We start from the raw sequence: 17019 nt of genomic DNA on the forward strand, positions 1-17019 counted from the left end.
GGTTCCTATTACTATTATAATTCCTATTATAAGAGTTTTAAATCCTCCTAGCACTGGAAACCATTTTCCAAACATGGACTCAGGATCAAACCCATGCCACACCTGCATGGGCACATGTGCCAGCTTTGTATATATCTTTATGTCTTCAACTACTTGCCCTTGGTCGTCTGTATGCAGACAGCAATTGGTTAGGTTAAATTTTCCACAGACCCCTTCTTCAGCTGCTAGCAAGTAGTGTAAGGCTAATCTATTTTGATAGATGGCATTTCTCATTTGGGTTTCTTGATGGGCTAAAACAGTCAAAGCTCTGCCCGTTTCATTAGTGATTATTTCTAAGACAGCTTGTAACCATATAATCCGGTTGAGCATGTAGATGGGGGTTCAGTATCCCTATGAGCTGTTTTGTGCCCATGTGGCAGGACTATAGTACTGTGTGATTCTTTCAGGGGGCCGCTCATCATCTTTCCAGTCGCCAATGGCTATGCTCTTTTCTCAGGAAGCGTAGACAGGGAAGCCTAGGAGCTCACCTGTTTTTATGGGCAGTAGGAAAAAGGATGGCTTAACGGTCCTAACGACACAACTACCTGCCCGTTGGTCAGGTAGCTTAGTGTAGGCTCTATGCCCGCATATCCAGTATAGTCCAGCTGGAGCTGCCCAGTCCCAGGGAGATTTTGGGTGGGCCTAAACAATTTGCAACTTAGGAAACTTACTAAATGGATTCTTTTTAGTATGGTTTAGACCTTACCAGGTGACTGTTCTTAATTTGATTTTTAAAACTGTGACCATAGGGGGCTCAGATGGGTTATAACACACATCAGGCTGGTCACTTCCTGGGCTACATACCTTGTACTGGGTGGCATTATACAAACAAGTCCTTTTTAGAGCTCCAGCACATTTATAATAACTATAGAACAAAAAGACAGTTTTAACTTTTTGACCTAACTTAGTGACCTGATGTATACACTGGTAACAGTCCTTAGTTTGCGGAAGGTCAGTTGAAGTCCCTACTGTACAAGTCCAAAATATAAGGAAAATAAGTCCCATGGTGAGTTTCCTCATGCTTCGGCCATGCATGGACCAGTCAGCTTCCGGGTGTGACTGCAGCAGGGCTTGTTGTCTTCTTCAGAGTCACTTTGCAGGGATTGTCCAGGCTTGGTCTCGCCTCCCAGGTCTCAGGTGCTGTGGGTTTCATGCGGCTGTAGTGGATCCAGGCTGGGATTCCTTCTACTTTCACGGCTGTGGGAGTGGTCAAGACGACAGTCTGGGGTCCTTTTCACTGTGGTTGCAAGGGGGCTGCATTCTAATCCTTGATCTACACCCGATCGCCTTTGCTGTCTTCTGTACCAAGTCAGCGACAAACGCTGGCCCGTTGTCTGAGCCAATTCATAAAGGCAGTCCAAACCTAGGGATGAGATCTCCACATTTGGGTATCTCGGTGAAGTCTACTTGGAGATCTTCAAAGGAGGCTGCTCCATAAGCCTGTATACCAGGCAGGACGGTTGGACCTTGCCCAGCATTGTGCTGCCAGGAGATGACACACTGCTGCACTACTGTTTTGGCAAGGGCTGACAGACACGAGATGTAGAAGTACTGGCCTAACAACTTTTCAAGTGACTCTTGGCCTACGCGGGTGGTCTCATGCACAGCCAGTACGACTGTGGTTCCTAGCACTTGTGGCATGGCTATTCTTCTGTCCGATAACTGGATCCATCCTTCTTTTATTACCTGCCCTCCCTCTGGTTGATGAAATGCCAGGGTGAAAGGGATAGCCAATTGGACTAAAGCACAAGTGCCACTCCAGTTATTCGGCAGAGTGTCCAGTAAAGGTCCACCATGATACCACCACACATCCACTTGGGGATGAACAAAGGGTTGACTTATTGGTAAGCTCTGGAAAATTCTTAAGCTCACTGCATCCCTTCAGGTCTCCAAGGAGTGCTAAGTTTCCTCCCTGTCATGAGAGACACGAAGTGAACTTAGTGTTGGGAGACAGAAGCTGGATGGCCCTCAGGGGCGACCCGCAAGGTGCTGAACTTCGGGATATAGCAGAGAGAGCTTGGCATGACTTATTACTCCAGGCTGTAGAATCCTGGAAAAGAGCTACCATGCAGTCCATGCCTGGCCAACTGGAGGACCACCTTAGTGGAAAGGGGACAGTCTGGGCCTCTGGCCTGCCATGTGCACAAGCATAACAATTGCTTTTGTTTAACATGCGGACAGAATATTTGATCCATTCCAACCAGGCATTTGCATCTTGGTATCCTGTCTTAATTGTCAAAGTTTGTTTTAAGTCTTTAACTTCTGTGATCCTCTAGTGAAATGAATGTATGGTTTTAAGAAATTACAAAAACCAGTTGGGGCAGTCCATCCTTGCTCTTTAGTGGTCCACAGAATATTGGACCAACTATGGCATGAAAGCTCTACACTGGGGGGCAAGACTCCTGGTTGACACTGGAGTCTTTATCAAAATCTCCTCAGATTAAATGGTCCTAATTTACTATTGCCTAGTCTGAGGAGAGTCAGGAGGGACAGAGGTACTTTTCTGAAGTAGAGAGCTGTCTTTGACTTGGCAAGTCCCCACAGGGTATAACAAGACAAGCATTAAATGCAATAGTTTGAGGTGAAATTGACTTGGTTATGTCTAGATGGTCAGCAATAGAGCAAGGAAAGAAAAAAGAGTAATACAATAGATGAAAGAGTTAAATTTTTCTTAGCTTTAGTTTGGTAGGGTTTTCCCCTGGGACTATGGCCCACGACTCTGAAGGGGTTGGTGCTTTCTCGACTCGGATGTGATGAGTCCATCCCTTTTTGCTGTAGGAACAGCAGTCTCGGTGGTTAGCAGCACAAGGTAGGGTCCTTCCCAGGCTGGCTCGATTTTTCCTTCTTTCCACCTTTTGATGAGAATGTGATCTTCAGGCTGGTGCTGGTTTACTGGAAATTCTAGGGGTGGTACATGTGCTAAAAGCCTTTTAGTTTTGAGGGAAAGGAAAGTGGAAAACAAACCAAGTATATAATTTATAAGAAATTGACATTTTGTTTTAAATGTGGGGACATCGGCAGTGGACTTTATAGTCCTTGGTGCCTTCTTACTGAGAAATTTCCTTTAGCACCTATTTTTATTAGTTTTTAGACCAAAGAAAGCCAAACACCATTTTATATTTGACAATGCTTTCCGTATGATTTTGTACCAGATAAGCTAAATTTCACCTTTATATTAGTGTTATTAATGTTAAACTTAGTTTTAATAAAACTTTGTAGACATATTTATTCAATTTTTAATGTCTGACCATAAGGTAAGATTTTTATAGACTCTTTTTAACCTTTTATAATTTTTGTTAAAGAGCAGGTCAGTGCTTTAAGAAAAACCCATCGTGTTTTTATTTTGATGTCCAGTTCACAGAAAAACTGGATGATACCCCTTTAACTTTAGCCAATATATTGACACACAGAATTTTCGTTACGATTAATGTTTTAAAACTTGCTTAAACCTTCAAAACAAAAATTTGTTTTTAACCTTTTAATATAGGTAAAAATCCACATTCTTATGTCTCCTTATAATCCTTTTACTAAAAGTATATTTTACTTTCCTTATACACCTTGCACATAAACTTTCTTCAATAGTTTTACATTCAGGAGGCCTAATTACTTTTAAATTATACAACATTTCTTGCATAAATTCCTTTTTATAACACATTTTTTTCTTTCACGACTTTCACAGACAATTCTTCGACATGCCTCAACTTTCTGACTTCTTGCAAACATCCCTTTCTTTAAATAACCAGTTATTTTAGGAAAATAATTTACCATATAACATTCTTTTACATAAATTCTCCTCCCCCCTCCCCCCGCCTTTTTTTCCCCTAAAGATGATAACCATTCTTTTCCAAAGTGAACTTTCTTCATGTCTGTGGACTAGACTGCCTAAGGCCGTAAGATTAGAAGTTAGGATAATACATGTTACACTGTTAACTTTTAGCAAACTTTACTTTTGTTGAAAACCTTGTAAGTTTGGGATTTCAATTATCCTTTGCTGTTAATAAGCCCTTGTTTAGTCCAAATTAACTTAGAATTGGTATAGATGGTTCCTTCCTGGTTCTATAAGTACTTTAAGGCCTGGCTGGGTGGAAACAGCTGGCACTTTGAGCAGACCAATTATTAGGCAAATTTCCTAACTCTGCTTTTACAAGAGTTTCCCTATCAATTACTAAATACCTATTGTGTCTTTTTCCCTCAGTCACCCGGGAGGAACCATCTATCATCCAGTCCTGAAGGGAGTTCTTCCTCCTAGGTCTAGTCAGACCTTTGGTAATTAATTAAGATTGAGATCCCTTATTAGGAAACATGCTGGGTTAAGGGAATTATCAGTGGTTAATGTTAAATCATCTTTTTCTAACAGAAAAGCCCCATACTTGTAGATTTTTGAGTTAGTAAGCCACCCATTTTTTTTTTTTTTTTTTTTTTTGACTTAGGATAGTTCTGAACTGGTGAGGTGTGCTCACAATGAGGTTTCCTCTAAAAGTTATTTTTCTACTTTCTTCTGTTAGCAAAGCTGTTGCCGCTACAGATTGAATGTATTTAGGCCATCCAAGGGGTACTGGATTAAGGATTTTTACAGGAAGGCTACGGATTGTCAGTGGCCTCAGTGCTTTCGGGCTACACCCTTGTTTACACTGACAACAAGGTAGTATTGGAGTGTTGTAGGGTCTCAGAGAAGACCTTTAATTATCAATTAAAGTTTCTAAATTTACCTTGGCTTTTAAACGAATAGGGTAAACTGTTGTTGTTGTTTTAACTATTTGTATATCTCTTTCTTTCTTTCTGTCTTTGACTTTCTGTCTCTCTCTCTGACTTTCCTGTTGTCTTTGTCTCTTCCTCTCTCTCTGCCTCTCTTTCTCTCTCTGTCTTTCACTCCTTCTTTGTCTCTCTGTCTCTTGTTCTCTCTCTCTTTTTCTCTCTCTTTGCCTCTTTGCCTCTCTCTCTCTTTCCTCTCTTGTCTACTCTGGGTGGTCTAGGGGTGTGTGTGTCCTGTGGAGGCTCAGGTGCTGTGGGCTCAGGAGTGGGGAGTCTCTCTTCTCGGTAAGGGGGGGCACCACTGGTGCCACTGCCTGCCATGCATCCTGTGATGTTGGGTCAGACAGAACCTTAGGAGCTGACTTCTCTCAGCGGGTGGAACGAGATCCCCCTCTTGGCTATCTGTCCCTTTGCCACTAACACTGCTGCTGCCTGTCCTCTCAACCACTGTGGGGGGTCTAAAACTCACTGCAACCAAGTATCTATGTATGGAAACTGATCTGGGTGTCCTGATTTACCAGTTACTTTGTGCCATACCTTTGAAACTAGGGACTTGTCTAGACTTCCTTCTGATGGCCATCCCACCTCTAATGCCGGCCAATCTATCTCACACAAAGCCTTAAGCTTTCCAGGTGTCATAGCAATTCCATAGTCCCCATTGGATCCTTTCTTGAAATTCTTTAACACAGTTCCTAACGGAGTAGGCTTATTCTGTGTTTTACCCATTTTCCTCTCTCAGCAGACAAAACAACACTCTTACCACAAAGAGGGAAGGGAAAAGGGGCAAAAAGTCACTCACTCACCAACCAATTCACACCAGATCAAAATTAAATCTAAAACCAAAGGACGGATAAGGAGTTACTCATTCATCAAGCAATTTGAGCCGAGTCAGAACCGAAATCAAAGCCAAAACAGTTCAAATCCAAAAGTCAGAACTGAAATCAAAACCAAAACATTTCAAATCCAGTCAAAATCAAAACCAAAACCAAAGTGCTGATAACGGCACACCGTGGGTGATCAGGCCATGCTTCCACTCAGATGGAGTGGGCAAGTTCCAAGACCGGTCTTACCATGTTCCAGATGTCAGGACTCCAAGCACGGATTCCTTCCCAGTGTTCAGCCGCTGTGTTAATCCTCCATGGGGGTCTGCCGCGCACTGCTCTGGCAAAGCATTCCACCTGGGCGATGGCCTACTGGGAGTGCTCTCAGGATCCGTGTCACAGGGCTGGAGTCCCCCACAGGGATGCTCCACAGGACAGGCCTAAGCTGCCTAAGGGGCTGCCTTGACCATCCGTTAATCACCTCACTTCCCGGTCAGGGAACTAAGAAATGTAGCGTGAACTAAGAAATGTAGCAGGACCAGTCACAGACAAAACCTCTCGGATACCAGTTTTAGGAAGGAAGAGGCTTTAATTAGCTGGGAGCATTGGTAGACTCATATCTCAAGAACCAAGCTCCCTGAAGTCAAGATTCCTGTCCCTTTTAAGGGCTTACAACTCTAAGGGGTCCACATGAAAGGGTCGTGATACATTGTGCAAGTGGGGACTACGTGACGGGGGCTGTCTGCACCGGTGGTCAGAACAGAACAGAACCGAACAGGGAGTTACACAATGTTTCCTCATACAATGTCTGGAATCTATATATAACATAAGCGATTAGGTCAGGGGTTGATCTTTAACTACCAGGCCTGGGGTGTGGTGCCGGGTTGTTTGACTATTGAATTTCACTTCTGCCTTTTCTTTAACTCCTACTTTTTCTTTTCTTTGAGGGAGAAATTAGGCAAATAGGCAAAAGAAAATATGAGAGGCGGTTTCCTTCCTTAGAAGGGCTGAGCAGGGATTACGAAATCTCAAATGCCAAGATCTTATGTGCAAACCATGCCCAATGCTGTAAACATTATTAAGCCCTACCAAAGGCTATTTACTTGAATCCTACCAAGAAACATTAAGCATTACGAAACTTCTTTTAAAATATTGTTTTGCATTATAAAATAGAATACAACATAAAAATATTTATGTTAAATAATTATAATAAACTATGCAAAATGAGTAATAAGGAACAATATAGCATAAAGTCATGTATATAATGTTTACAATATTTTTATAAAGTAAATAAGAGGTTCTTGTCTGTTCCTCTAATATTCTTTATTATCACTGAGTTTTGTTTTTCTTCTGGAAAGAGGGGGCAGGCAGAGGGAGATGGCTGTGGGGACCTCTGCCAAGCCTGAGTTGGGCCACAGTCAAAAAACGTTTGAGGGCATCATTCAGAAAAATAAGCCTGCAAATAATTTTTCTCAATTTCCTGTCTTTTTCCTGAAAGATGGTTTGAAGATGAATGGCTGAGTAGAAAACACTTTCAGATCCCCACATAGGCAACGGCAGAAAAGCTCCAAGTGTGATATTACAAATATGTATTGTCATCGAAGACAGAAATATTTGCCTTGTCCACCCAAAAGCACAATGATCGTATGGGTTGATTGTATTTTCTTCTCTATGTATTATGTGCAGAATTTCCCTTCAACAAAAGAAGGGAGGAAAGAAAACTAACCCTGCATTGTAGGCTTCTGCTCTATTTTAGGAGAGGAAAGATACTCAAAGACAAAAACCAGCAAGAAATGGCATTTGACTTGCAAGCCTTTAGGAGATGTGCATAAACAGAGAAGCTCAAAGGGAGGCAGAGAAACCAGGATGCCATCGTTGATTATGTCCTTCCAGCAACTGCAACCGTGCCTCAATTTGCAGGGAAATACATTCCTCTTCATGGACCCTGTTCTGGGACCCATAGCATGCTCCAGGCTGCAGCCCAGACAGGAAGGTGTCCAATATGTCTTTGAGTTCCATCTTGGGGATCTCATGTGATCTCTGGTGTGTTAGTGAGTGGGCAGGGCCCCTGGATCCCAGCACTGACCTCAGTTACATGAAGAGTCTGAGTCCATGGCAGGATCTGGGCCCACAGTCTTCTCACCAACCCAGAGGCAGAAACAGACTCTACAAGCAACATGGAATGGCAGTGCTTTGTATCTACATTTATTAGTTTTTAAAAAATTATAAAATCTGGCTGGGTACGGTGGCTCATGGCTGTAATCCCAGTGCTTTGGGTGGCCAAGGTGGGAGGTTCCCTTGAGCCCAGGAGTTAGAGACCAGCCTGGGCAACATGGCAAAACCCTGTCTCGACATGGCTAAATAAAAAAATTAGCCAGGCATGCTGGTACACACCTGTAGTCCCATCTACTTGGGAGGCTGAGGTGGGAGGATCACCTAAGCTCAAGAGTCCAAGGTTACAGTGAGCTATGATTGTGTCACTGCACTCCAGCCTGGGCAACAGAGTGAAACTTTGACTCTTAAAAAAAAATTATAAAATCGGTGTTTGTTTTACAAGAATTTGAAATTCTAAGCTATATAAAAAGGAAAATAAATATCACCATAATCCCACTGCCAGGGAGTGCCACGGGGTACTGGCACTGTTCCTCCAGCCCTGTATCTGTATATGCCTATATGCCCATTTATACCCATGTTGGATATCAGTAAGGATTCCCCAGCCTCTCACACTGTTGGAGAGGCTCAACCCTGTTCCATGCCCTCTAGAAGTCTAAAGTCCTCCCCAAGCCTTCTGGAAATTCCATGGGGTCTTCAGTCCTCAGGATCACCCCTGCCCCCAAGCATGGATTTCTATAGCTAATTTCCTGGTGTTGTTCCGTTTTTCATGAACACAGATGGAGAGTACGTCTTACCCTGGGTTTCTACCCTAAATCTGCACTCACACAGATCAATTATTGATGGGGTGGACTTCACTGAAAATTTTAGGAGGGGGTGGAGTTGGAGTTAGTTTGAAACCACAGTAGCAGCCAAAACACCAGGCATCTTTGTGTCCTCCAGGCAGCTACCAGGCAGAGTATCTGTGACTTCTTCACCCTGGGAGGCCTCAGACTCACACCTCCAGGCTCCTGGCTTCCCCCTTGGTTCCATGCCCCTCCCCCAGCCCTCCCCACCAGCGGCCCCCAAAGCATCTCTTCTGTTTCTTTGCCCCCCTCCCCTATGGTCTTCCTTCTAATGCAAGGAAGTTGCTTATAAAGGACTTTGTTTAAATAAGGACCGTTCTTATAGCAACTGTTACAATAACAAAAATCTTGAGATCATACTCTACATACATTCTTTATTCTGCCTTTTTAAATTGAGCGTTACACTTTTAGCACTTTCCCATATCATTAAATATTTAGCAGCACTGGATTTCATCAAAAAGATGCACCATCATTCATTTCTCCATTCCACTATTTTTGGATATTCTTTGCTTTGGGGAAATTTACAAAGCAGAAATTATTAGCTCGAGGAGTGTGAATATTTCTAAGGTCCCATACTAATTGCCAAATTGTCCTCCAGAAAGGTTATGTCAATTTGCACACTCTGAAGCTCTAAATGAGAGTGTTGAGTGACTTTATTCTTTAAACAGTTTGCTAACTTGACATTGTCTGTGGAAGAGACTATTTTAGGTCAGTAAAATATCTGGTCAGAGTCACAGCCACAGAGAGCCCAGGGTGTGAGGGAGCTTTTGGCCTTGGGGGACTCCAGGGCCCTGGGGCAGTTGATAAACCTCCCAGGACCTCCGGTGCTTCTCCGTAGCCTGGCTCCCACTGGCTCCAGTGCTCAAAGCAAATTCTTCCCCCAAGCCCTGCAACTTTCCCTGGGGTAGCTCTCATTCCACCTCTATAACCAGGAAGGGCCCCTTGGGTAGGCACCCCTCAGCAAATACCCCTAGCTTGTCCTCAGCAGATGTGGTTGGCGGTGGGCAAACTGGCCTTCTCCCCTGCTCAGTAGGGAACTGGACTTCTGGACCCACCCAGACTCATTTCTCTCTATGTCATTGTGTCAGAGGTGTTTGAACCAGAGGAACTCCATCTTAAATAGGAGCTGGGTAAAATGAGGCTGAGACCTCCTGGGCTGCATTCCCAGATGGTTAAGGCATTCTAAGTCACAGGATGAGATAGGAGGTCAGCACATAAAGACCCTGCCATAAAGACCCTGCTGATAAAACAGGTTGTAGTAAAGAAGCCAGCTAAACCCCACCAAAACCAAGATGGCCAAGAGAGTGATCTCTGGTCATCCTCACTGCTACACTCCCACCAGTGCTATGACAGTTTACCAATGCCATGGCAACATCAGGAAGTTACCCTATATGGTCTAAAAAGGGGAGGCATGAATAATCCACCCCTTGTTTAGCATATTATCAAGAAAGAACCATAAAAATGGGCAACCAGCAGCCCTCAGGACTGCTCTGTCTATGGAGTAGCCATTCTTTCGTTCCTTTACTTTCTTAATAAACTTGCTTTCACTTTACAGACTTGCCCTGATTCTTTCTTGCGTGAGATCCAAGAACCCTCTCTTGGGATCTGGATTGGGACCGCTTTCCTATAACAGTTGGAGTTTGGAAGAGATGAACAGCCTCCATTTCCCCATCCCCCCATCCCTCCAGCAGAGAATATAGGGTCACTTTCCCCCTTCCTAAAGGCTACAGAGGCTCACAGCAGCAGAGCCTCGAGTACTACCCCCCTTTCCTTTTCTGAAATGAGAGATGTCCAGGGAATCGGGGACATCTTTCCCTCTTCTCTCTGTTAGGATGCTAGTGAGTTCTGCTTTTCCCACTTTGTGAGCAAAGCACACATGTGCACAGCTAACAAGCCAGATGATTTCTAAATAAACTAAAAATACTGCCTTATCTCAGAGGCCTGTGCTGAAGGAGCTTGTTTAGAGTATCGGATGAACATTTACAAATAGAAAATCCTTCCGAGTTACCTGCTGTTACACCCCATGGCTTCCTCCCCTGGAACACAGCAAAGGACCTGGGGTGACTGGAGCAAGTGGCCATCAGGGTTTGGTGATACTGCGTCTGATTTGTCCTCTCCTCTAGACTCGAGACAACTCCAGGGCAGATCCTGGAGCCTCAGCCCCAGTCCAGGGTCTGGTACATAGAAGGCGCCCCACAAGGGTTGGTGGTTGGTGGGAACACAGCAAAGTGGGAATTCCTTGGCTGGTACTGTGCAGGTGATTGAAGCCAGCTGCCTAGGGTTAAGATATCCCATTTCCCAGTCTGGGTAGGAGAAACCCAGGTACATGTTCACACATGTCCACTCTGTTTGCCTCTCCCTCCCATCCGGAGTCCTTCCACAGTGTCCCCTCCTTGGGACATCTGCTTCCCCAGCATATGCCTCTGGGGCACTTTGCTGCAGAATGGAAGAAGATCAAGTGCTCTCCTGTTCCAGGTCAGGCACTTTGGATTTAACCTTGAGGCAGAGGCTCAGCTGCCCTGACAACCCACAGCTCATTTCTACAGCAACACCTCCTGCAAAGGTAGCCCAGCACGTCCTTGGCCACCAGCTTCCTGCGGTGATAAAAATAGCTGAGGCCCCGCAGCTGCTGAATGATGAATTCTGGAAGGAGATGATTGATTCTCACAGCTGAGTCTCGGGGTCAGCGAGTGTTGTGCAAGTGGAGACGCCGGGGTGAAGGATGGGGGTTCTGCTATAGATAGAACTGTTGACAGAGTGATCCTGGGCTTCTCCCCACCTGAGGGGAACATAAACTGAGCTAATTAAAAGGAACTGCAAAGGGCTGTTGGAAATGATGCAGACGCGTGCATCCTTTGCTTTCAGACCATCTTTGACCTTTTTGGAATGTGCAGTCATTTCCCCTCCTTCCTTCTGGCACAAGATTCAAAGTGGGGAGAAAGTGTTCATTTCCAGGGAAGGCAATGGGGTGGTAAAGTGAGAGGAGTGCCTGCTTTCCCTAAAACAATGGTGAGGAACTGTCAGGGCTTATGAAACACCACAGGGACACCAATGTCAGGCAGCACCTAACAGCCTGGAATTAAAATCTGCTCCCCGCTTGCTCAGGCTGGAGGAGTGCTCCTGCTGGCCTTGCCAGGGGACTAGCCTGTGATCTACCATGGCTGCACTCTGATTAATCACAGTGATCTAAGGTTAACTGTGCACATGAAGCTCCTGACCAGCACCAGAGTAGCTTGTAAGCCAGTGCCCATGTCATAAAGCCATTGCAATTGCACTGTGCACAAGTAAACAGCTGGGCCTGTGACATTGCACAGATGGACTGGATCTGGGCAATTCATAGATATCACCATATGCATTTACTTTATAGTACATATTTTCTGGGCAATCTATCCCCCAGTGTTCTATAAAGTAATAAGAATAAGGTTTCAGAGAAAGGGAGAGAGAGAAAAGTCACTGGACAATGGGGAAATTAAGAAGCAAATGAGAAAGGATATGTTTTCAGATGAGATTATTAAAAAGATGATGAGTTGATGAGGTGGCCAGACGAAGAGAAGATAATCCAGATGGCTATTGCTCCCAAAGAGAAGGCTCTGTGTTGTAATCAGAGCAGAGAAAAAGGGTGAAGGAGACCTACTGGCTTTCATGAAAGAGACAAAGGGGAGCCCCTGCAGGGGAGTCTGGGTGAGGACCACAGGCTTGAAAGCAAAGCAGACCCTTCCTTTGTCTTTATTGGAATCCTATGAAAGGCAAGTCCTGAATGCCTTTACGCCTTTCTCTCCATCCTTTTCTCATTATCTGCTCCTCTGAATTACATCTTGCCAGCTCCAAACCCTTCCCCAGGTAGCTCCCATCTCTCCCACCCGCTAAGGTATCCTGGAGTCACCTCTGCCTCCATCAGTGCCTTTGGGGATGCAGCAAGTGGAACTGAATCCACATACTCCGGTTATCCCTGACTGTAGAGTTCATACAGAAGCTATCTGTATGCCTCCTCATTACGTAAAATTTAGAGTCAATTCAAAGGAGGGTAACAGGACAATGAGGGGTCTGGAAATGGAGTCAGATCAGCTTAGGTAAGGTAGGGGGCTGATACTATAATTAGTCTGGAAAAGAGAAGATTTCAGATAACCCTGCAGGTTGTCTCCAGGTCTGTCCCTCATATTTGTGGGAGATAAATGGAGACCTCTTATCTTCCAAACCCCTACTCTGTCCCACTGCAAGAGGAGTTGCACACATGTACATATGTGGACAACCCAGGCTGCACATCCAAGCTGCATTTCCACACCCCACCAGAAAACTGCCACTTGGCCACTGCTGGAAGCTGGGGAGTTCACATCAGAAATGTGGGCCATCTTTCAGAGGACACACCCGGGAAGAAGCTACAGGCTGGGGTCATTGGACTGGGCACCCCCAGGCTTGTTACCTGGAGCAAGTTCTAGAAGAAGGCCTTGCTGGATCGAGGTGGGCCCGTCTCCATGGTCCCACTAACTTGTCTTGCTCATGGAAAGTGGTATGACCCAGGAAGGGCTAGAATGGAGCCCCCAAAATGTGGGGCCTATGGAAGAGACCCCTTGCCAGGATCTAAGTCTGCTGCTGAGTATGACCAACTCAAGCTGTCCAAACTGGATGCCAAATCTGCTCCTTCCTCTACATTCTGCCTCATGAAAGTTTTCACTGTCTCCTGCAGGAGAACCCTGACAGCCTGGCCTTAACCCCTCACTTCTCCTCTTTCTCCATCTCCAATGCAGCATTCAGTCCTGCTGACTCCAACTCCTTCAGGCCTCTAGAATCTTCCCTCTTTCCCAGCCCCTGGCTACGCCCAGTGACAGTTCTCACTTGTGCCAGGACTAATTGCCTGGCCTCCTGAGTTGAACTCTTCTCCTCCAGTCTCCACACTGCCAGTCCAGCAATCTCTCCCTGAGGTAAATATGACCTTACCACCCCCTTTCCTACCTAAAGCTCTTCAGCGGTGCTCCCTATGCCAGTGGGATCAAGCCCAAGCTCCTGAGCCCAGCACACAAATCCCTCCGTAGCCTGACTGCTGCCCCTGGCCTCTGACTCTCAAACCTTGTCAAATATTCTTACAGTTAATGCAACAAACATACCATTTCCTGTTTCTTTGCTCACACTGCTCCCTCTCCCTGAAGGGCCTTTTCTCTCCTGCCTGCTTGGTTGATGTGAACTCACTTTCTCCTGCATGGAAACCTTTCCAATATCCCCTACTCTTCCTTTCCTCCCCAGGTAAAATTGATTATCTGTAAGCTGAACTGAAGTCTACATCATAGCAAATAAAATAAAATATTTTCTACGATTTAATTGTTCACAAATCTGTTTGGTTTTTTGTTTTTTTTTTTTTCCACCAGACCATAGTCTCTCTAAGGTAGGGGCCACATTGTTCTTGGCAACCCTGTGCCTGACACCGAAACACGTGGTGAACTGAAATGGAAAGTGTGTATCTGATCAATGCTGGTTGCCACACATCTAATCCTATGTTGATGAGCACATGTCATTTTTTGTTCTTAGCAGCTATTATATATGGTAACACTTTCTAAACAATGGACAGAAACTGATCACAAGTTCCAGGCAGGCATGCAAGACAGGGGGAGTCCATAAAAGGTGCTCAGCCTTGCTGAGAACCCCTGGTATCACCAGCAGCTGGAAAAGCACCCAGAGTCTGCAGCAGTTCCAAGCCTGTGGACTTTGTGTCTCAGGTACCAGGGTTATCTCAGGATGAAAGTCAGGCCAGTTCCTCCAGCCACTTGGCTCTGCATCCCCTTCTCCTACAGGAGGGGCCAGCAGGGACTTCTGGTTTACCTTTGGAAGGGAGGGAGAGGGGATAGGCCAGGCAGGTATGAAACCTACTCAGGTATTCAGGGCCCAATAGGCAGCTTGTCTACTTGTGACTCATCGAATGGGCAAGGATGCACACAGGATGCGACGCAGCCCTGCCCTGGAAGGGCTCATACTCAGTGTGGAGGCCAGGGCAGTAAACCAATGAGGTGAATATGAAAGACCTGCCAAGGGAGAGGCAAATGCCAAAGGATGAGTGCACCCGGGCAGAGACTTCTACCCACCTCCTTCCCAAGACCATGTGCTCCCCTCCCCTCACACAGGGGTCCCTGTCCCCCTTGTTCCCTGATCTTCTGTCTGCACAAACTTCCCGCTCTGTCTGGACCGCTCCTCCCACTGTACCACGCACAGCCTGTTCCTTTCCATCTTCAGTGTCCGCTGAAATGTCCTTTCCTCAGAGGCTTCTTCTGTCACCCCCTTTATAGCAGCTTCTGTACTTTAAACTGCATTATTTGCTCTCAGCTTCTTGTTTATTTCCTTGAAAACATGAATTGAAGGAACCATCTTATTTATTATGTGTATTGTGTCTCTAATCCACTGGCTCCATGAGGGCAGAGGTTGCATCCATGTTGTGTTCTCCTGTGTTGACAGCATCTGGGACATAGTAGAGGCTTAATAATTGTTTACTAAACAAATGAAGGAAAGAAGTGCTCTTGTTGGTTCTCTGGTAGGTGGTGATGAGAGATGTCATGGGAGGTCCAGAAGTCAGGACATTCAAAGAGGGCCTAGTAGCATTGTCAAGCGTTTGCCAGATGGAAGAGGCATTGCAGGTGTGTGAGCAGGGATGTGATTCTGAGGGTGATGAAGGGTGGTGGTGGGGATACATGTAGCCCACCTGGGGAGGTAAAAGGGGGCAGCTATTGTCCCTTTTTGGGGGGATGGCCCCTCTCCTTGATGGTTGGGACAATGAGGTAAACTATTAAAGGTCCATGTGGACACATCTACCCCTGGGGCATGCCCATCCAGGCTAAACAAAATCAGCACAAGCTGAACAATTAGGACTCAGAGAGCTACCTGAGGGATCTAACAAGGACAGCAAGGACACTCAAGTGACCTCAGATGATTCTGAAACCTGGGAAAAAGACTCCACAAGCCCAGGCCATCTGATCATGAGATGCATCTCCTGACTGCCTCTGGCTGTTCACAAAGAGCTGGCCAAGGACATTCCGGCTATGCCAGGCCACCGGGCCAAGTTCCCAGGGACAGCAATCCACCGCCTCTCTCCCCCCATCACACCCAAGGGAAGCACACAAAGTAGGCCTGGGTCCATGGCCTGGCAGACACCTGTCCCCGGCTTTCTGGGACAGTGCACTGCATCAGCTGCCAGCAAAACAACCAGCCCCTTTTCAATGGGCCAGTGGGCAGGGCTGCCATTGGCGGAGCCCTGGTGATTTACGACACCCCGGCTCAGTGCACCATCAGGGAGCTTCCAGGTAGAATCTCCAACTTCACCAGGCAAGGGCTCTCCCTTCCAGTGATTTATGGAGCCAGAGTGAGCCAGTTGTTTTTTTTCCCTTTCCCTCCTCCCTCCTCCTCCAGGACAAATAGGTTTCACATCGCTGTGGGCACTCTGGTCTGCAATGACAAGACAAAGAGGTTCCACTTGTCCCTCTGCCCCCTGCACCTGCTGTCAGGGGATGATGGTTATTGGTCAGCAGCCACATCCATTTCACTGGCACTTTTAGCTCTTTATGTGGTGCCGGCCACAGCATCAGCCACAGGGCTCTCTCGATGGCTTTGCTGGTTGCTCAGATATATTGCCTATCTAGAATAGACCTGCCTCCAAACTACAAGGTCAAACTTTCCTCTCCTGACCTAAATTCCTTCCTTCTTTCCTTCCTTCCTTCCTTCCTTCCTTCCTTCCTTCCTTCCTTCCTTCCCTCCCTCCCTCCCTCCTTCCTTCCTACCCTCCCTCCCTCCTTCCTTCCTTCCATCCAAATAATCCATACATCTTGATTTCTTGGCATAAGACTCCAGGGGGCTGGGGTTGCCTTCCATAGCAAGAGAACAATCATGAAGCAGCTGGTGCCCTGAGCCTGCTTTGTGTTGTACAATGAAGGGCCTTGAGCTTTTTCAAAGTCATGTCTTAGCTCCAAGAGGTCAAAAATGAAAGAAGATGGCTGTCCATCTCTGTTATTCTCAGGTGCCTTCGCATTGCTCTGGCGCTACATCAGTGCAGTGGTGTCCTCAGGGTCAGGGGGGTAGCAGGGAAGAGGCACAGCCAAGACAGAGTGGGAGGGAGACTGAGAAATGCCTCCCAGCCTCGCCAGCTTTGGGAGTCAGAGGTCCTTGGCAAAGAGCCTTCACTCACTTACACCCCCAAGAAGTGCCTGGGAATTTATCAGGAGAGGCTGCCATCTATGGAAAATCACAGACAAAATGCAACACCAATCACTCTGTGAAGTCCAGTCCCTTTTCCTCTGTCATGCATGGGGAAGGAAGAAAAAGTGAGCAGTCAGTCCGGCACCAAGCCCACCCGCCCTCACCCATAGCAGCCCCTCCACAATCCACTCAAGAGAACTGATGTAAGCCAGGCTGATTGTCTCAGCTCCAAATGTGGCAGCCAGCAGCAGAAGGACTTGTCAGGTCTCTGGGATGCCGGG

The 17019-nt window shown here is 46.2% G+C and overlaps 1 annotated feature.

Annotated features, from left to right (window-relative positions):
* Window positions 11317-11611: a silencer, noted in NCBI's record as "tiled region #14232; K562 Repressive non-DNase unmatched - State 24:Quies". NCBI's record gives its function as "represses a minimal TATA promoter and a strong SV40 promoter by Sharpr-MPRA in K562 cells {active_cell/tissue: K562}" and the evidence as "EXISTENCE:reporter gene assay evidence [ECO:0000049][PMID:27701403]".

Source organism: Homo sapiens, chromosome 14 (genome assembly GCF_000001405.40).
Source record: "Homo sapiens chromosome 14, GRCh38.p14 Primary Assembly".
Taxonomy (NCBI): Eukaryota; Metazoa; Chordata; class Mammalia; order Primates; family Hominidae; genus Homo; species Homo sapiens.